The 21,086-nt window shown below is 34.3% G+C and overlaps 1 protein-coding gene across 44 annotated transcripts in view, besides 1 other annotated feature; it reads right to left on the minus strand.

Moving 5' to 3' along the window:
* The window catches only part of DLG1 (discs large MAGUK scaffold protein 1), a 256,762-nt gene that overhangs the window by 20,850 nt on the left and 214,826 nt on the right, over positions 1-21,086 (minus strand). For 14 of the 44 annotated variants that reach the window (XM_017005803.2, NM_001366207.1, XM_017005801.2 and 11 more), the window contains 6 exons: positions 17,642-17,708; positions 13,177-13,276; positions 5,810-5,851; positions 3,295-3,345; positions 2,299-2,400; positions 1,867-2,039 (listed from right to left, as the gene is read on the minus strand). In XM_017005803.2, the coding sequence (XP_016861292.1) occupies positions 1,867-2,039; positions 2,299-2,400; positions 3,295-3,345; positions 5,810-5,851; positions 13,177-13,276; positions 17,642-17,708 (535 nt within the window). Of the gene's footprint in view, positions 1-1,866; positions 2,056-2,298; positions 2,401-3,294; positions 3,346-5,092; positions 5,129-5,809; positions 5,852-12,427; positions 12,462-13,176; positions 13,277-15,033; positions 15,125-17,641; positions 17,709-21,086 lie in introns of those variants that run through there. The other 30 variants (NM_001290983.2, NM_001366204.1, NM_001366208.1 and 27 more) reach the window with 10 other exon arrangements.
* Positions 13,905-14,105: a silencer, noted in NCBI's record as "peak4992 fragment used in MPRA reporter construct". NCBI's record gives its function as "represses an SCP1 promoter by STARR-seq MPRAs in K562 erythroleukemia cells {active_cell/tissue: K562}" and the evidence as "EXISTENCE:reporter gene assay evidence [ECO:0000049][PMID:32103011]".

The raw sequence follows: 21,086 nt of genomic DNA on the forward strand, positions 1-21,086 counted from the left end.
ACTCCCTCTGTAGGTAACCAACCTCATTAAGTTCTGATTTACCTTTCCTGTGCTTATTTTCACACAACTGAGCAGAGATTTGTATTTTCCCATTTTCTCTTATTTTATACCGTAGATATTCTTTTGCATGTTGTGTATCAGTTCAAATACCTTATTAACAGTTTTAGAGAACTTCATTTTGTGAATGTAAAATTAATTCAATCACTTTTATCTGGGCATTTAGATGATTTTCAGTATTTCACAATTATAAACAATGCTACAATGAATAAATACCCTTTTGCCCATGTATTTTCATACTGTTGGGGTATATCTTTGGAATAAATTCCTAGAAGTGGGATGCTGGGTTGAAGGAAAGCTGCTAGATATTGCCAAATACCCTTCCAAAAGGCAGTACCAGTTTGCATTTCCACCAGCAATGCACAACTGTTTTCTCTCAGTCTCACCAAGAAAATGTCTTCATATTTCTCCCTGAATCTGATAGGGGAGAAATTGAATTTAGAGTAGTCTTCTTAATTTACATTTTTTTTTTTTTTTTTTGAGATGGAGTCTTGCTCTGTTGCTCAGGCTGGAGTGCAGTGGCATGGTTTTGGCTCACTGCAATCTCCTGGGTTCAAGCGATTCTCCTGCCTCAGCCTCCTTAGCCAGGATTACAGGCATGCACCACCACGCCAAGTTAATTTTTGTATTTTTGGTAGAGATGGGGTTTTGCCATGTTGGCCAGGCTGGTCTTGAACTCCTGACCTCAGGTGATCTACCCACCTCAGCCTTCCACTGTGCCTGGCCTTATTTTTTTTTTTTTTTGAGGCAGAGTTTCACTCTTGTCACCCAGGTTGGAGTGCAACGGCACGACCTCGGCTCACTGCAACCTCCACCTCCCAGGTACAAGCAATTCTCCTGCCTCAGCCTCCTGAGAAGCTGGGATTAAGGCATGCACTGCCAAGCCTGGCTAATTTTTGTATGTTTAGTAGAGACGGGGTTTCACCATGTTGGCCAGGCTGGTCTTGAACTCCTAACCTCAGGTGATCCGCCTGCCTTGGCCTCCCAAAGCGCTGGGATTACAGGCGTGAGCCACCGCACCCGGCCTTTACATTTCTTTAATAATGACTACAGTTGAACGTCATTTCCTATGTACAAAGGCCATTTTATATCTTATTTTTGTGTGAACTATATATTCTGATCTTTTGTCCACTGTTTTTTTCTATTGGGTTTCTGGTCTCTGTTCCCTGTTTTTATGAGTTCTTTATATATTGGGAATATTAGCCCTTTTCTTGCAAATTTTTTCTGTCAGTTGTCTTTTGACATTGTTAATGGTGTTTTCCAATAGTTTTTGGAAAAAGTCTTTGGCCATAAAAAAAGTTTTTTAAAAATTTTAAGTGGTTAGATTTATTGATCTTTCTTTTTTTTTCTTTTTTTAAGAGCCAGGGTCTTGTTCTGTTGCCCAGGCTGGAGTTCAGTGGCATGCTCATAGCTCACTGCAGCCTCAAACTCCCAGGCTTCAGTGATTCTCTCAACTCAGCCTTCTCAGTAGCTAGGACTGTAAGGGTGCACTGCCACACCCGGCCCTTATCTCCTTTTAATATATGCTGGAGAGCTAGGCCTAAACAAAAGGTCTATCTCTAGCAAATGACCTGAAAATAACTTCTCTTACATTCATGTTATCATTTCTATTTTCACTTTCTTTGTTTACCTTATTTACCTGTTTTATCTTGTATGCACTTTCCTAAGCCATGGAAAATTAATTATTTAGGTAAGCAAATTCATCACATTAACAAAACTAATTAGTGCTGTATCTATCCTACCAGTCTTGCATACTGTCAAAGGCATATCTGATTAGAAGCTATATTCTGGGATTAGTCTGATGCTTACCTTTTCTGCTACTTCTCGTACAGACTGAACACTTGTTCCATATAGATGATTGTTATACTGGCCAGCTTCAATGAATTTATGTTCCTGGATATCTTTTTCCATCTGCTCTCTTGAAGTCACAAAATGATAATCTCTTCCATCTACCTCATAATCTCGTTTTGGTCTAGTTGTATCTTTAACAGAAAAAAACTTGGGAAAGTGTTTAATATTAAAAAAAAAACCACAATAAATCCATTTTCTACTTACATCGTTTTGTAAAGTTCAACAGAACAGATTAATTTAAATCTGAGAAAGGACAATAATATGGAGGATGGAAGAGTAACTGATAAAATAAGTACAAACCATTAAAAAATGGTTATATCTATTTTTCCCACACACAGTGACAGGAAATGTTAAGAGTAACAATTAAATGTTTTTGTTTGGTTTACTTACGAGGAACACAGGATCCAAATTTGTCAGGAAATTCTGAGATCAAGTCATCATTTATCCTGTCTTTCATAGGTCCCAATATGATCACTGGTCGAGTATAATTAACTATAAAGATAAACTGCATGTTAAAAGGAATAAACATTCAACAAATATCAATGTATTTTATTTCACCAGCGAACAAAAATATCCTTAACTGTTATGACTAATTTTTTTCTTCCCTCTCCATCTCACTCTACCATCAACCAAAGATGCGTAACTTGCTCTTTTATAATCTTGACTCAGATCTTAAACTTTACTTAGTCTTCTGCTAGAAGTCATATTGATAATTCAATCAAGTTAAATTTGGTGTTTTCGCAGATAATGTTTCTTTACATTGCAAATGACAGAATAAAGTCTAGTGTTTTACAGATGGCTTTGAAGTAGAAATTGTAAGGAAGCAGAGCAAAGAAGGGCAGAACAGAAACTGGATGTAGGAAGTGATATAATCCCAGTAGTAGCATTCTAGAAAGATGATCTAACAGAAGTGTAAACTCTGGGTGGTCTGGGATCATGCTGGAATAATGGAGATTGGTAGTGAGACTGAGAACTAACATTGTGATAGAAGGGATGAAAAGAAGGTCATAAATAAGAAAGAAGTGGGATAAACAGTGCCTGGAACCTAACTGGATGAGGAGGAGGAGGAGGAACAGAGAAGGCTCAAAGATACTTCCAAGATTTTCAAAAAAGGGTTATTTGGAAGATAGTGATGCTAACAAGAACACTGGAACAAAGTTGCTTGGGAAATAAAACACAAATATAAAAGTCAGTATGAAATGACTAGATTCTAATATTCTGTGGAGTAAACTATGTTTCATAAAACACATGTAGTAAATTTCTACATGTATATGTAGTAAAAAAAAATTTTAATACAACATTTTTTGGGGTATGAGAATTTTTTTCCCCCAAATTAAAAAGTATATTCTTCTAGAAGGTTATAAAACATCAATAGGCTTCACAAACCTTCTTGTTGATTCACTGGTTCATAAGATAAGACGTATTCTTCTTGACCACCTATTAGAAAGTGAAGGCACAGATGAAAAATGTGTAAAGATAATTGATGCTAATCTAATTCTTCATAAACAACATATACATTACTAGAACTTTCCTGAGAAAATGGCAAAGATATGGAAAGAGGTACTTTATGGCAAGATTTAGTTAAAAAAAAGTGTCAAATTATAAAGTCTTAAAAGTGAGTTTGCTAAATGTAAAACAAAATACAAATGGGCTATATAATCAATATTATATTTTATAGATAATCAAATCTAAAAATCTTCATTTGTGATGCTATGTGCTACTCCTTTATTTAGAATCTAAGAATTATTAAATCTGTTAAAGATTAATGCTTTAATGAGCAGATCTGTCTATCATCTATCTACGTATTAGGTAATTTGTTACTATTAAAAACATGCTACTTTTTTTGTTCCACCAACTACAATACTGAATACAGTATATTTTATTTTTAAAATAATTACATCTTAAAATTAAAAATTATAAATGCAAAGGTAAAACTACTGTTACTATTTCACTGATGAAAAATTCACTAACTCAACTTTGTAAAAAAATAATAAATTTAATGTGAGTCAAAAAGAGCTTTAGATAAAACTAAATCCTTCCAAGAAAATAAACAACAGTGATAGTAAAGGAGATAAATATATTTGCTTTGACCTTAAAAACACAAGAAGTTAAAGCTTCTAAAGGTTAAATTAAAGGTTCGGAGCTTAGGAAATACTCTAAATAAAAGAGTCTACAAATTATATCTGAATATCTGAATCCAGTGAAAAGAAATAAATAGTTAAAAACTCTGAGAGTTTTTTTTTTTTTTTTTTTTTTTGAGACGGAGTTTCGCTCTTGTTGCCTAGTCTGGAGTGCAATGGCATGATCTCAGCTCACTGCAGCCTCCAACTCCCGGGTTCAAGCGGTTCTCCTGCCTCAGCCTCCCAAGTAGCTGGGATTACAGGCATGTGCCATCATGCCCAGCTAATTTTGTATTTTTAGTAAAGATAGGGTTTCTCCACGTTGGTCAGGCTGGTCTCGAACTCCTGACCTCAGGTGATCTGCCCGCCTCGGCCTCCCAAAGTGCTGGGATTACAGGCGTGAGCCGCCGCGCCCGGCCAAAAACTCTAGGAGTTTTAAACTAACACACACACATCCCCCCTCACCCCCACGCCTAAAATTAGAAAAGACTGTGTTAACCCAAGTGGTTCAATGAAAGCAATCAATATTGGATAATGTATTTGAAGACTTTCTCTTTAATTATCAAGATCCTATAACAATTTTACCATGAATTTTGCAATTGGTTTATATTATATGTATGTAGCTGTAGGTCTTTTAAATCCATACATTGGCATAAACATTCTTTTCTGTTTTAGAAGTATTTCTTTGTTTTCAATTTTATTATCAAAGTACATAAGACCAATATTTTATAAGCTGTTTTTTAAAGTACTGGATGTGAAACATGGCTTACATACTAGCAAACACATGCAATTTGAATATTTCACACCTTAATAATTCATGCAAATGGTGAGAGACAGTATATACTTTCATTACCTCTTTTTAGCCTAGAAAGCCACTCAACTACCCTATAGTGGGTTCTGGTTATAATTAATAAAATGCTGAAATACAGGAAATCATTTCCACACCAAAAAAAAAATCATTAAGTAACTATTGTGTAGAAAAATAATCAACCAAATGAATGACGGTTAAAAGTATATACTGTCAACATGAAAAAGTATTAGGGACTGATATTAACAGGATGGACCTTTTGAGCAGCCATACTCATCTGTAATCAAGATTACTTTCATATTAGACAGCAGTAAAAAAAGAAAGTTAGAAAAGTAATTTTAATTTTTAAGGTGCTACAACTGATATTATGTACCCTCCCCTTCTCCCATGCCCAAGTCTGTTTTAAAACATCACATGCTTGTGCAGTTCACTTAATAAAACCAAGAATGTAATATAAAACAGCAAAAGAAAAATTAGTATTATTTTTCAGGTGATCATTGAAAATGTTTCCTTATTTCTTCCGTTCACCAAGTGCTGGTGATAAACAATGACATGACCCAGATCAGTATTGGTGACAAAGAATAAAAATGGAAATAAAGCTAATGATAATTTAGCATTACTGAAAAATATTATTTTAGTGCTCATGTTAAAACCAATTACTAAACAGAAGGTCAAAATACAAGTTTTCCCCCATTTAACTAGATATTTACTTCTTACAAAAAATACATATACATATACATATGTATCATGTACACAAATAATATTTTTATTTTATTAAAATTTTATAAATTAACCTCTACATATATAGTATGATTTTATTTTTCAAGTACAGAATTTTACTTGTCTCTCCCTGATTTTAAAATAACGATCATATAACTTCAGGTTTTTATAACATATCACTCAGAATCCCTCCACCCCTGCAGAGGATGTATTACTCGAGATTACAAAAGAACAAGTAACTTAAAACACTTACGGTAACTACTTTCACTATCGCTGGCATTAGAAGTTACATGCTCTGAAATTGCAGGACAATGAAAAAAAATAAAACAGTGTCATGAGTTTAAAAAGCAAATAATCAAAATGAAATGTTGAGATATAAGCCATATATAACAAAATAATTTTTTAAAAGCATTTTCTTTTTCTTTGAAACGTTTAAGTTTTTCAAATAATAAATATATATTAGCAAAGGAAAACTCCTGTAATTAAGGACAATGCCTTATTTTTGTACAACACAGTTTATGAACAAATCTATTATAAATAGCAAGTAGAATATGACAAAAAGGGCTAAGTGACCCTGAATTAGTCCAAATGTAGACATAAAACTCAAAGGAGAAAATACTGTTGGCACTATTTCAGTTTTTGAAACAGCGTTAACTGGCAAAGGGGACAAACTATATTTAAACAAATAGATGCCCATTTTAATGACGGGATGTCTTTGTAATTAAAAATAAATAGATGATCTTATTTTCAATCCAGCTTTGCTCCTGTTTCTGAAGATGAAAATCCATGTTTCTGAGATCATATAGATAAAGGATTGTAAAGGTCATAAATTCAGATGTCTCAGCTGGAAGGGAAGGCACTGATGGTGGCAATTGCATTTTAAAACCAACTAATATTAGAAGTCATAAATTCAGATGTCTCAGCTGGAAGGGAAGGCACCGATGGTGGCAATTGCATTTTAAAACCAACTAATATTTCTTAGAAACTCTGCTTTGATAAGACTGGCACTGGCTGGCTTTTGCAAAACATAAAAAAGACAATGAGAACAAACACACCCAGCCAGAAACTGCCTGGCCCTCCTTAAAAGTGACTCCATTTCACGACTTTATTGTTTGGTAAAACCATAGGCACTCTTCTCATCCATGTAAATGTCATCTCAAGTTTTCTCTCAATAAATATCTCCCTTCAATTAAACAAAGACTAATACTTTTATTTTTAAAAAATAAAAATAAAACTTTCAATGAGACAGGGAAATCTGAATTTTTATTTTAACTTTTTTTTTTTTTTTTAATTAAAGGGACAGGGCCTCACTCTGTTGCTCAGGTGGGAGTGAGGTGGTATGACTATAGCTCACTGCAGCCTCGCCCTCCTCTCCTGGGCTTCTGTGATCCTCCCATCTTAGCCCAGAGTGGCTGGGACTACAGGTATGTACCACCATGCCCTGCTAAAATTTTGTTTTTTTTTTTTAATAAAAGAGACAAGTCTCAACTATGTTGCCCACACTGGTCTCAAACTCCTGGCCTCAAGGGATCCTCCCATCTCAGCTTCCCAAAGTGCTGGGATTACAGGTGTGAATCACCACACCCAGCTGGAAATTTCATTTTTTTTTTTTTTTTTTTTTTGAGATAGTCTCCCTTTGTTGCCCAGGCTGGAGTGCAGTGGCACGATCTCAGCTCACTGCAACCTCTGCCTCCTAGGTTTAAGCGATTCTATTCTTGTGTCTCAGACACCTGACTACCTGGCACTGCAGGTATATAGCACCATGCCCAACTAATTTTTCTATTTTTAGTAGAGACTGGTTTCACCATGTTGGCCAGGCTGATATTGAACCTCTGAGCTCACGTGATCTGTCTGCCTTGGCCTCCCAAAGTGCTGGGATTACAGGTGTGAGCCACCGCACCTGGCCAAATGGTAGGTTTTTTAAAAGCTCATATTAAAATATTTCTTTCCATGTCACCACATGGGCTTGACAGCAATAATTTAAAATTGGTGTATAATATTCTATTAGATTGATACATTATTTACCTCGCTATTTATTAGATATTTTTATTTGCTTTAAACTGTTTTTCACAAGTATCAACAATTATGAATGTCTTCATTTATATATACCTTTTAACTTTCTGTCCTATTTCCTTAAATTTCATACCCAGAAACACGCCACATTAAAAAAAGAGTTATTCTGTTTACATTAGTATTGGTATTACCCTCTGCAATCTCTAGTTTGTAAACTAAAGAAAAATTAGTTATTGCAATGGGGTGAAGGGAGGGGAGTGTAAGTGGGAGTACAGAAGAAACAGAATTGGCAAATGTTCAGTTGACAATTATGAAAGCTGGATAAACAAATACCTGCAGGGTTTATTTTTACTACTTTTCTACTATTGAATATATCTGATATTTATATAATAAAAAGTTTAAGTTACCAAAATCTCTTCACTGTCTTTTTTTTTTTTTTTTGAGATTTCTCCTACTCACCTCAAACCCTCTAAGACTGCCAAAAGCTACGCCACAATCAAATTCTGCAGGTTCTTTCAAATATCATTTCACTTAGCTCTTCTACAATAAAGCCTCACTACTCAAAGTATGGTCCTTAGAATAGCGTCATCATAATTGTTTGGAATGTTATTAGAAAAATAAAATGTTTTTCTTCTGATAATTGAAAATGTTCCTCTTCAAAGCATTTTACCAAAGAAGACAGTCAAATAACCAATAAACATATAGAAAAGTGTTCAAGTTAATTACTTGTCAGGGAAATGCAAATTATAACCACAAAGAGTGTCTCTGCCATCCACCAGAATGGCTAAAATGAAAACACAAAACAGACATGTCAAGCATCGATAATGATATGCAGCAATGGGAGTTCATGCGCTAGGAATGGGCAAACTGGTAAAACTAGAAAACTAATTGGCAATAGCTACTAAGGCTGGACAAATGTGTATCTATACGACCCAGCAATTCCTTTCCTAGATATTTCCCCAACAGAAAGGCATATATATGCTTACCACAAGACATGTATAAGAATGTTCAAAGCAACACTATTTAAAATAGCTCCAAACATATAAGACTGAGACAATATATGCAGTTTCATATTTTACTTTTTTCATAGATAGTAAGCATTTCCCCATGTCATTATCTTTAAATATGATTTTTGATGGTTATGTAATATTACATAGTATGGATAAATCATACTTCATTAGGCACTTCCCAACTGTAAGACATTTTACCACGGTTTTTTTTATTTTTGCTGTTATTACTCAATAATATTATAATAAGCATTCTGATATATAAGGCTTTGTCTCCATCTCTAATTACATCCTTAGGATAAATTCTTTGAAGAGGATTTAGTGGGTCAAAAGATGTGCTTTTTCAGGAAGGCTGTGCCAATTTACACTCCCATACATTTACTTGTAATACATTATTTACTTGTAATACATTAAAAGCAGGCATTTAGCAGCACTCTCTCCGTCATGGGTTTTCTTTTTAAACAAAAGTCTGCCAAAGTGACAGGTAAAACATTTTGCTTATCACTACTAGGGAAATTAAACATTTTTTATATGCTTATTTCATTTGCTTATCTTCTGAGCACTCTTGCCCAGTTTTCTAATGGAGAGTTAGCTTATTTCTTATTACCTGTTAAAAACTTATAAAGATATTATCCTTGTGACATACATGGTACAAATAAATTCTTCAAGTTTTTATTTTTGTTTATGATTGTCTTAAAAAAAAAAAAAACAAAAAAACAAAAAAAAAACCTGAGTCTTGCTCTGTCACCCAGGCTGGAGAGCAGTGGCGTGATCTCGGCTTACTGCAACCTTCACCTCCCGGGTTCAAGTGATTCTCCTGCCTCAGCCTCCCTCCCGAGTAGCTTGGATTACAGGTGTGCACCACCATGCCTTGCTAATTTTTGTACTTTTAGTAGAGACGGGGTTTTGCCATGTTGGCCAGGCTGGTCTCGAATTCCTGACCTGAGGTGATCTGCTGGCCTCAGCCTCCCAAAGTGCTGGGATTACAGGCGTGAGTCACCGCGCCCAGCCTGTTTATGATGTTTGATGAACAGATCTATCTCAAATCTCTCTAACCAAGTTTTATCATTGTACTCAAATGCTTCTTCCTGATACAGTACATCATGTTTCTCTTCTGCTCTCCTCTAATACTACATCATCAATCTGAAGCAATGAAACTACTCTTACATCTTATTCGTAATGCAAATGAAAATAAGTCTGTTTTTGGCATTTAGAAGCTCTGCACAACTATGCGTACGTCTTTAAAGTGAGAAGAAAGAAAAGACATATGTAACAGGAAACCTACGTGCCTGAGGAAATTTTTGAGGTGTTGTACAACATGGAAAGTTGTAAAAATGGAAAGCCTACATGTAATAAGAACAAACCTTGTCTCAAATCTTATGTCATAATTTTACTTCTGAGCACCTTATGTATCTTTTATTGAGTTATGTTTCCTTTCAGTCTCTGTTAAAGGAATCTTACCTAGTTTTAGTCCCTTGAGCTTTTTCAAAATTACCTCCCTTAAAGCATGAAAGCGGCACGGGTTTTTATTTCTAGCTTTTCGCAAATGATGACTTAGCTGCATTCTCCCAAACTTCCATTGTACTCTCATTAGTTCTGTTTAGCAAAATTAGGTTTGATAAGACGATTTCTCTCACTGTTTTCTCTACTGTTAACAGGGAAATCAATAATTTATTTGACTCTCTTCTTCTCAGAATAAAGAACAAATGAATTCAGGTCTACACAAAGCGTTCTATGGTATCACTTCTGTTTCTCTGTCTGCTCTTCAATTAAATACCCCATTTTTCATAGGTTGTGTGAATTTACAGCAGATATACATTTTTTTTTTCTTGATATTCAGTGTTATTCCATTTCTCTTCAATAGGTTCGGTTCTCTGGAATAACTTAACCTTCTTTTTTGGGTTCTTTTTGAGTTTTGTTCCAATAAGGCCTGATGACTACCTACATTAAGTTGCACTTATTTTCTTATATTAAAGTCTCTCAAGATTTTGCTTAGTTTATTCCCTACATTCTTAACTTCAGAATGTAAGTAACTGAGGCCACAAGTAACGTCCTTGAACACATCCTTCTTCCCAGTATTTACTACTACATAATCATGGGCACCTTGTCAACTGCCTTATATCATCTATTTTATGTGATAACCTCCATCATATCCAGTTTTAGAATTTTACTGATATTTTTCTGTCTTCTCCAACATTTTGTGAATAAAATCTTGATCTGATGATCAAGTTACCAGGTGAATAAATTCTTTTAATTCCTGTGAGATGAAGCACAGAAATCTATTATTCAAGAGATCTTAGGTCACTCTCCAGAAAATAAAATCTTTTTCTGAATAACGTCGTCTGATAATCAGTTACCATTTTTCATATTATTTCTCTTCCAAAGTCTCAATCTTCAATCAGAACCAGAGAAAGAGGGTCAAGGTATAATGATCATCTATTATAACATCAATATGGGAACCAAATTCTTCATTTAGTTTCTTTTTCTATGAGTTTCCTATGTCTCTGTTCACTTAACATATAAGAAAAATCTGTGGGTCCATTTGTTGATCCATACCACCTCTAAAGTATGTTATCAATCTCAAAATAAATTCTATAGCATACATAAACTGTGGTAGTATGGTCCAATTTTAGAGGTTTTCATTGATAATTTTCCCCAAATGTAAGGGTGTCACTAGTGATAGGAAATCTGTGGCCCTTACTAAATCCTATAAAGGCACATGCAAAAATAACAAAGTGTGTCTAACAGAAAGAGTTGTAAATAAACATACTGTCTTCAATCTAATACAAACTTAAATCACTATGGTTGAAATAAAAGTACCTGCAGTTTAGATTAAAATTTCAGCATAAAAGCATAAATCAGAAAAATGTCTTATGTAAAATTTAATGTTTATTAATGTAGGTCTTAGAAAGTTAAAAGATACTGGCTATAGGCTTAATGATCAATGAATGACAAAGAAGTTTTCAAAATATTTAATAATCTAAATAGAAAGAACCATTTAGAAAATATTAGATTAAAAGATTACTTCTATCACTCACTGTCACCTAAAGTTACTCAGTAATGTTTGGTAAATTTTCAGTTAAGCAATTTGAAAACATGCAAATTAAAAATTTTATTTGCTAAAATGGCTTCTTGCTTCATTCATTCATGCCAACATTTATTGAATGTCTTCTACATACTAGACCCTGTGTGAAGCTTTACATGAAGATTAAGTAACTAGCTAGAAAATTAAACAAGAACAGCAGCAACAAAAACCAAAAACAAAGGCAACATCTTAGCTAAAGGAAAAACAAAATAGTTCTTATACTCTTGTGGTAACTTATAACTTTCTCAAAAAAAAAAAAAAAAAAAAAAAAGAGATACACAACCTATCCCCTCAATAAACTGCTACTTGCGTAGTATTCTATTGTGCTTTATACTTTTATAGTAATGCTTTTCTAACACATAATCAAAATTATTTTAAATTATTTTAACAAAAAAAAGGGGAACATAAAACTCCAAGGAAGCATATTTCTACATTCTAATAATGAGGGTACATTTAAAAAAATCTTAAAAGTTTTTATATTTTAAAAGTTCCTAGCAAAAGTAACTGTCGTAAAAATTACAAAAAGGAAAATATAGTTACGAGCAAGAGAATTTTTCAAATGACATGTGAAAAATAAAAACAAAAAGTTATGTATTACAGAAATAAAGTCCCAAGCATGTGATAAACATGAAAATTCTAAAAGCAATCTAAATCATACACCTCCTTATGCCAGAAAGGCACTACCATGAATCTCAAAATGTATCTGAATAAGGTAGGTCTGCAGATGGAGGTTAAAAAATAACTTGGGAGTATTTTGATCACTTACTCAGGCCTTTTGATCCCATGTCGTCAGGGATCTCCTGTAGAGGGTAGTCCCCAGAGAGCAAGCAATAAAAAGATAATCAAAGAAAATAGTTGTCAGTAATGCATAAAATTGGTGCTACAGTAAGAGACAGTTCCAAGACCATTACAGGTACATATATCTTACAGAGCATTTTTACATATTTCTAGAACTTTGAAATGAGCTAGCTGCTAACTGTAATCTACCAAAAGAATGAAAGTTCTAGCATGAAGGCTGATTCAGGTACAGAAGCAAAATTTTAGACCATTTCTTGCTATTTTAAAAGTAAAATCCAGATTGTCTACATATAATGAAGAAATAGGGTAAAATGTAATGATTCCAGAGAATCCAGTTATCAGACTCGCCATGTTATACCTAGAAATCAACAGGTAGCTTCTCATGTATTCATGTTCTTCCTCTAAAATATTCTTTGAATGTATGAATGTGTTTTTCATAAAAATCTTTCCTTCAAATAACTGCATTTATACATATTTATATGTTCAAGTTATAAACATATAACTGAAAAATAATGTTTGCTTTAAATTAAGAATTCCTAAGGTGCCAGAAAAAGTTAAGATCGGCATACAAATTAATTTATAACTGTTAAGTTGCCCTTGAAGACAATTAGCAACCTGCTGCAGCTCTTGAAACTGTCTCCATGGTAACAACCAACTGCAGGGCAGTAGGTCCCTCTCCATTTTATTTTCAGTTGACCACTGGATCCACATACTTACGGTCAGCATCACTTGTTTCCTGCTCACTCTGGTCCTTGTTCTTGTAGAAGGGGAATTTTCGGGAAAAGAGGTTCTTTTTACGCTTGTCATTGAATGACTGCTGAAGAAGAGAAGGAGGGGCAAAACAAAGGGATGTCTACTGTCTGTGTGTACAAAGGCCCAGCCTAGCAGCTCTGTGGAAGCTGACTCCTATGACCACAGTGTGCAGTTTGTATATGATTTTTACTTTAATCTCATATAAAGTGAATTTCTACTTTTGTATAAATTCTAACATTTTGCAACTGAAAATACTTAAGAATTTCAGACAGCATAGTTCATTTATACCTAAAAATAAAAATGCTACTTGACAAAAAAAGGCAAATCAGTTACTACTACAGTACAAACCAAGCTAACATTTGTTTATACTAATCCATGTTTTTCCAGAAAAATTTTCAAGTATTAAGTGCTCTACAGCAAAAGTTATTTAATGTTACTTTGCTGCTCAATTACATTTTATTCATTATCTTCATTTTATTTTGGCCTGACCACAGTTATTCCTTTATCTCTTTTTTTGTGGCTACGATGAGCTAACAGAAAAGTCATTATTTAAAAAGTAAACCAAAATGATTATGAGAAAGTTGCTAATGCTGAATATTTAAAAAACAAATATATATATATTTATATATACACATATACATATTCTTGGAAGAGGATAAAAGGTAACTAAATGCTTATGAGCCAGAAAATGGGAAGAAAACTAAAAGGTCCATCAAGCACACAGAGTCCAGCAAGAGACTTATCAATGCCATCTCTTAGCCAAGCAAGAAGAGTCAGAAGTCTCCTGACCAACGTGAATGCTTCAGTACTGAAGTCTCCTGACCAACGTGAATGCTATCAGTACTGACTTATTTATTCTTAAGTTCTACTCTACTTATTAAAAAAAAGTACACATAAATAATGTAGAACCACATCCAATCATTGGCACCACGTCCTTCATAGGGAATAAAAAGTTTGGTGTCCACCAAAGCCACAAGGCAATTAAGATTCTAACAGTTTATACATAATTGTAACGTGGAGTTGAGCAGTTGATTTGATGTCTCTTATTGCACATGTTGGAAACAAGTTTTTCCTTGAATGTCTCATTTGTGCATTCATAGATTTAAGAGCATGTAGCACAAGAACGATGAGGCTATTAAACAGAAATAGCTTCTTTTGTCATTTCTCTGTCATAGGCATTCATGTTTTGAAGGAAACGGGCTTACCTACCAGTGACACTAAGAATTATTATTTTTTGGAGGGGGAAGGGAAAAATATAAAGAATAGATTTTTTTGTTCTGATTTTTATGAGTTTATACACATCTTAAGATGCTGTATTATTCATTATTTTGAAGTATATTGACAAGAACAGTGTGTTTTTGGCATGCCCTTATTTTAAGCATGTGATGCCAGGTAATTAAGGTGAAGCAGCCAGGTGTGGTGGCTCACATCTGTAACCCCAGCCCTTTGGTAGGCTGAGGCAGGAGGATCGCTTGAGGCCAGGAGTTCAAAATCAGCCTAGGCAACATGGCGAAACCCCATCTCAAAAAAAAAAAAAAAAAAATTAGCTGGGAGCAGTGGTGTGCGACTGTAGTCTCAGCTACTTGGGAGGCTGAGGCAGGAGAATCACTTGAACCCAGGAGTTTGAGGCTGCAATGATTAGCTATGATCATACCATTGCATTCCAACCTGGGTGATAGAGTGAGACCTTTTCTTTAAATTAAAAAAAAAAAAAAGTGAAGTAGATTAAAGTGACTTTTAGCTCAAATTCTATGACTTGAGAAGACTTATTTTGATAAAGATCTTTATAAAAACAAGGTTAAACTTTCATTTTTACCTTTTCATATAATTAATTCAGGATTAATAAGTTCACAGTTCATTAGCCAAGCAGACTGTCTTGATTTCAATCTTAAAGTTTGAAGGCTCTGAGGAACTAGATAAAAGAGAACTCTAAGTAGAAGTTAAAAATTCAATGGACAGAAAAAGTATTATGGAGAAATCTGGGCTTATAACTATTTTATAAACTGTCAAGTAGCATTATTTGAATAAAAATCTTTGTTCAAATCCAAATTTTAGAAAGGAGATAGACGAGAAAGTGTTTTAGTGAAAAAAATTATGGTAATCTAATTTAGGGAAAAACTAAATCTTTTCGTTCATAAGAATCAATGGTTTTGAATTTAGCAATAATTTTTATATCTGATACAACTGATGTGTTTTTTATAAAAGTTTATTCATCCCTCTTACTGCATCTATAGTGGTCAGAGTCAGTTTCACAGCAAACAACCAAAAGAAACATGAAGTTTAAAATGTCTGATTCTTATTATCTTTGCAGTTAGCCAAAATGAGATATCATAAAGATATCATAATATAGGACAGAGAGAAATGCTTGTTAGTTAAGAAAGTATTAGTTGTATCACATTTAATATCCTCCAGGTGAAGAACTTATTAAAAGTGAAAAAAATAGCACAAGCAACCAAGACAAAAATGTGTAGGGAAAACACAAAACTGAAGACTTGCTACCTCCAGTTTCTCTGTATTTTCAATCAGAAGTACTACATTTAATACTTACTGTCATTAATGCTATATCGCAAGAGAGACAGTGTAAGAATTGATAAAATATCATAAATTCATGATACATATATTAAATATCTAAATACATAATTTCCACATGTATTTCAAAATAGCCAAATGAATGTTAGACATGTTAATGAGAAACTAAAATGTTGTAAGTCTGTAGTAAAAATAAAGTCCATAATCACTATGTAAGGAAAGGAGGAGAAGTAGGAAATGGTACTATAGAAAGAAATGCAGTTCTGATCAATGGCAAGCGTATTTTCACCCCACTCAGTATCATGCATAGTTTTGGTGCTGTGTTAGAACACAGTGACTCTGTATAAAGTTGGTTACAGTCAACAAACAAGACTAAGATTTAAACACGTCGTTAATTCAGTTAACTTCTTACAGTATGAAAGGAAAGTTACAACATGCAACCTCTTTTTCAATTTATTGATGGTATATTGTACTAAATCATTTTTAAAGATATACATAAAACAAGCATTAAAAAATTCACATTTTTCAAATCCTGAGCATTTACCTGGGATTTTTCCTCTAATACAAATTTCTATTTTAATATTGCTTCAGATCACACTATATAATTTGGAATTTTTCTGAAAGCTACAATTTTAAAGGAATTTATCATTTCTAAAAAATGGAATGTAACACATAATTTTCTCAGATTTAACTTCTTGAACCAAAGATATTTCTCATCTTTTAAATTTTAAAGCTTTAAGTCTGAGTGCTTAGTGATACCAGAGATGTACAGAGTAAATTTATTTGCTGAGTTAACATTCCACATTCATTTCAAATATTATCAGAAGACTTATAAAAATTTTGTTTAGTATTAAAAAAAACCCCAAACATAAAACATTGCTATAAATGGTATTTAACATAACATGTATTCAGTTTGTTCTCCAGGCTTACTGCTAGAATATTCCACTGCAGTGAGTTCAGGATTATTAAGAATTACATCCACCAATACGGGATGAAGCCTGTACCATCTTTCTCATCTATCGACAGCCCAAGTATTTAGATGCAAGCAGAAGGACTTAAAGTGAAGGAAAAATAAATACACTTCTAAAATATATGATGAAAGAATTGATATATTTCCTTTTTTTTTTTTTTTTTTTTTTTTTTTTTGAGACAGGGTCTCACTCTGTCACCCAGGCTGGAGAGCAGTGGCATGATCATGGCTCACTACTGCCTGGACCTCCTGGGCTTAAGCAATCCTTTCACTTTAGCCACTGGAGCAGCTGGGACTACAGGTGCAAGCCATCACGCCTGGCTAATTTTTTACCTTTTTTTTTTTTTTTTTTTTTTTAAGAGATTGGGTCTCGCTCTGTTGCCCAGTCTGGAGCACAGAGGTGCGATCTGGGCTCAATGCAACCTCCGCCTACCAGGTTCAAGTGATTCTTGTGCCTCAGCCTCCCGAGTAGCTGGGATTACAAATGCCCGCCACCATGCCTGGCTAACTTTTATATTTTTGGTAGAGACGGGGTTTCGCCATGTTGGCCAGGCCGGTCTCTAACTCCTAACCTCAGGTGATCTGCCTGACTTGGCCTCCCAAAGTGCTGGGATTACAGGCGTGAGCCACCATGCCCGGCCTAGTAACACAAATTTCTAATTGGAAATCGAATGAAGGTCAAATACATTTCATTTATAAAAATAAGCTTGACCCAAAAGTATGTTGCTAATAATATATCAAATGATAGTTTTGATAATTTGGAAGGGTCTGTGAAATGGGTGCTTGAATTTAACAAATGCTTAAGTATCTACCATTGTAAAGCACCATGGCAAGAACTGATCATGAATAATTCTGATAGCAAAATCCTTTTCATTTTAACAATGTAGCTCAAACAGGAATTACAAAAATGTAGAGATTTCAAATACTCACCCCTTTATCTCTCGTTTTAGAATTGAATTTCACTGTTTTTAATCGGGCTCGTTCTTTCTTCTCAACTCTGTCAAAGTATAGAATGTTATTTTTTAAGTAAACCAAACATATCTGGGGTCTTACTAGAAATAACCAGAATTGTTATCTTTATAATGGGCATTTTTATACTCTAAAACCTTTAAGAGTCATCTAGGTTTGCATCCCCAAATTAGAATTGCTGAAAAATGAAATAAAGGGCTCATTTTATTATGAAACAAAACCTGATGCTATGAAGTTATCAACACACAGTATATATGTGTATATTTTTATATGTATATTTAGTTACAAAATTATATGAAAGTATGAGGCACCATTTCTGAGTTTAACAGTTTTCCAAGTTTTGTTTGTTTTTAAGTATTAGCTTAGCATGAAGCACATATGCTAAAAATTAAGCTAGAGAAAGCAAATGTGGCAAAATGTTAAAAACTGGTGAAAGTGGGAGAAGGATATGTGGACGTTCACTGTATATTGCCGTTTTTGTACTTACTTTTCTATAGCTCTGAAACTTTTAACAAAAAGGTGGAATATTTAAAAATTAAGCCTAATTTTAATGATATATGTGTGTGTGTGTGTAAATATATAAATAACCAGTTACAGTTATTGAAGTAAGAGTTTTAAAGTATTTTTGGAAGGATACATAAGAACTGTTAATCTTTACCCCTATGGAGGTGAAATGGGTGTTGTGAGAGACAGCCTGTAAAGCCTTCACATCTTTTAAATTCTGAACTTTACCTACTCAAAATAAGCAAGCAAATAAAACTACAATGAAACAAGTTTTTATGTAGATTGTAACACTAATGTAAATCTTGCAAAATGTCATGTAAATTAAGCTTTCATAAATTCTCCAATTTCGACATAGCAATTATGTTAGCATATAACAGAAAAGCCTACCAAAACAAGACTATGAATAAATGAATTTTATTTTTTCCTTATTATCTATTTAGTTTTACTATGGGTACAGCAGGACCTTAGCATTCATGAATTTAAATTTTAAATTTAAGTCTTGGCGCAGTGGCTCACGCCTGTAATCCCAGCACTTTGGGAGGCCGAGGCGGGTGGATCACAAGGTCAGGAGTTCAAGACCAGTCTGGCCAACATGGTGAAACCCTGTCTCTACTAAAAATATAAAAATTAGCTGGGCGCAGTGGCGGGTGCCTGTAATCCCAGCTACTTGGGAGGCTGAGGCAGGAGAATCGCTTGAATCCAGGAAGTGGAGGTTGCAGTGAACCAAGATCATGCCACTGCACTCTATCCTGGGTGAAAGAGCAAGACTCCGTCCCCCACCCCAAACAAAAAAAAAAATTAAAACTCATGATTTTTACGATTCAAGAACAATTCTGAGGCTCCATGACCTGAATAATTTATAATCTTGCCTAGGTACTTATCAACAGCACCACAAAACTAGCATTTAGTGGGTGAGCATTTACAACTCAACTTTGTTTTCTAATCATTATTTTGTTTAGTACATAATTCAGCAACTTAAATTGTCTATATTTGTAAATATTATTCCTGAAAGCCAAGAATTGTAGGAATTACAATTCCTATGTTATTTTAGAAGAGGTCTAAGAAAGAGATAGTTCTATTTAAGAAAAGGTAAGTTTTGAATACATTCAAGAACGAAATGGCATAATTAGTTGTGGTTTCTTACTGTATTTTACGGGAGTAAGATTATATTCTGCAATGCTACTCATGAATGTGGAAATTGGCAGAGGTCTCAAGATATCTTTCTTACATTATTGCTTGCTTTAAAACACAATCTTATAGAATTTTTGTACAAAATGAAAAAAAAATCTCTCCAGTGAAGCCAACAGTGTTTATTATTGGGTGTAGGCACAGAAAGCCTTTGTAAGGTATGAGACTCCAAGAACCAAGACAATTTTTAGGAGCTCTGACCTTGATATTTAAGATGTAAGGTTTCTACTGACTCAACAAGGCATAGAGGAAGCATTTCCGAATTTAAAGCAGACTATGTTCTATTTCTGGAAAAAAGTTATGCTGATTGCTGCATTGCTAAAAGAGGATTTGTCATCAACTGAAAGATCTAGCCAAATAGTTGGATCATGCTAAATATATGGATACAGCCAACAGCAGTTATAAGCCCGAAAATCATAATTATAAATCTTGATTATAATTTAATAATATTACTTTTCAACTTCTACAAACAGGTAAATAAATAAAGGTCTAGAAATAGTTACGAAATAGGTATAAATTCAACTAATAAGAAAAAGATGTTTATTACAGCATAATCGACTTAAAATGAATTAACTAGTTATAATAAACATTTCTTTATGATCTCATTAACTATTTTTGCTGGCTATCTTACTACTACTACTTTAAAAAGCTCTTAAAGAAGAACTTCCAGACAATGATTTGGATGAAGCAGATCTCATAAATAAGCTATCTCAGGGGAATTCTGAAATGACATTTTAACACCTTCCCCACAAAAGCAGAGACACTCAACAGCACTTCACAGGCCTTAGAAGAGGTCCTCTAAGCTGGGACCATCCTTTGCAAAGAGGGCCTGTCCTTAACTACTTTTGCTATGTGCTAAGTATACACCCATGAATCACTAAAATGAATCATTAGGGCTGGCTGCAGTGGCTCACAGCTGTCATCCCAGAGCTGTGGGAGGCTGGGGTGAGAAAATCGCTTGAAGCCAAGAGTTTAAGACTTGCCTGGGCAACATAGCTAGAACCCATCTCCACAAACAAAAACAAAAACAAAAACAAAAACAAAAAACTTAGCCGGGTGCAGTGACACGCGCCTGGAGTCCCAGCTACTAGCTGAGGTGGGGGGATAGCTTGAGCCCAGGAGTCTGAGGTTCAGTGGGCTATGATCATGTCACTGCACTCCAGCGTGGGCGACAGAGCAAGACCTTGTCTCTTAAAAAAATCAATCTACCTACCTACCTATCTACCTATATATAATCATTAAAAGCAAAGAGAAAAGACCAGTGAACTGCACCAATACATGTAATTTAAGCAAGGAAAAAGAGAAGTGAAGCGTATTACCAGATATTTCCAAACATTTTGGCATGAAGGAAGAAATTCATGCCACCAAAAATACAAAATTTAAGTCCTCTTACTTACCTACACCAACCACAGACACTTTCAGTTTTCTCTTCACTGGTATAGCTAAATGGCACACTGATTTAATATATACTTACTTTGTTTTCAGTAACTAGTAGCTTTAGATCAATTTCTGCTTGGAGGCATCACTTTTTGTTGTTTTTTTTTTTTTGAGTCAGAGTCTTGCTCTGTCGCCGAGGCTGGAGTGCAGTGGTGCAATTTCAGCTCACTGCAACCTCCACCTCCTGGGTTCAAGCAATTCTCCTGCCTCAGCCTCCCAAGTAGCTGCGATTACAGGCGCCCGCCACCACACCCAGCTAATGTTTGTATTTTTAGTA

The sequence above is a fragment of the Homo sapiens genome, chromosome 3 (assembly GCF_000001405.40).
Source record: "Homo sapiens chromosome 3, GRCh38.p14 Primary Assembly".
NCBI classification, from domain to species: Eukaryota; Metazoa; Chordata; class Mammalia; order Primates; family Hominidae; genus Homo; species Homo sapiens.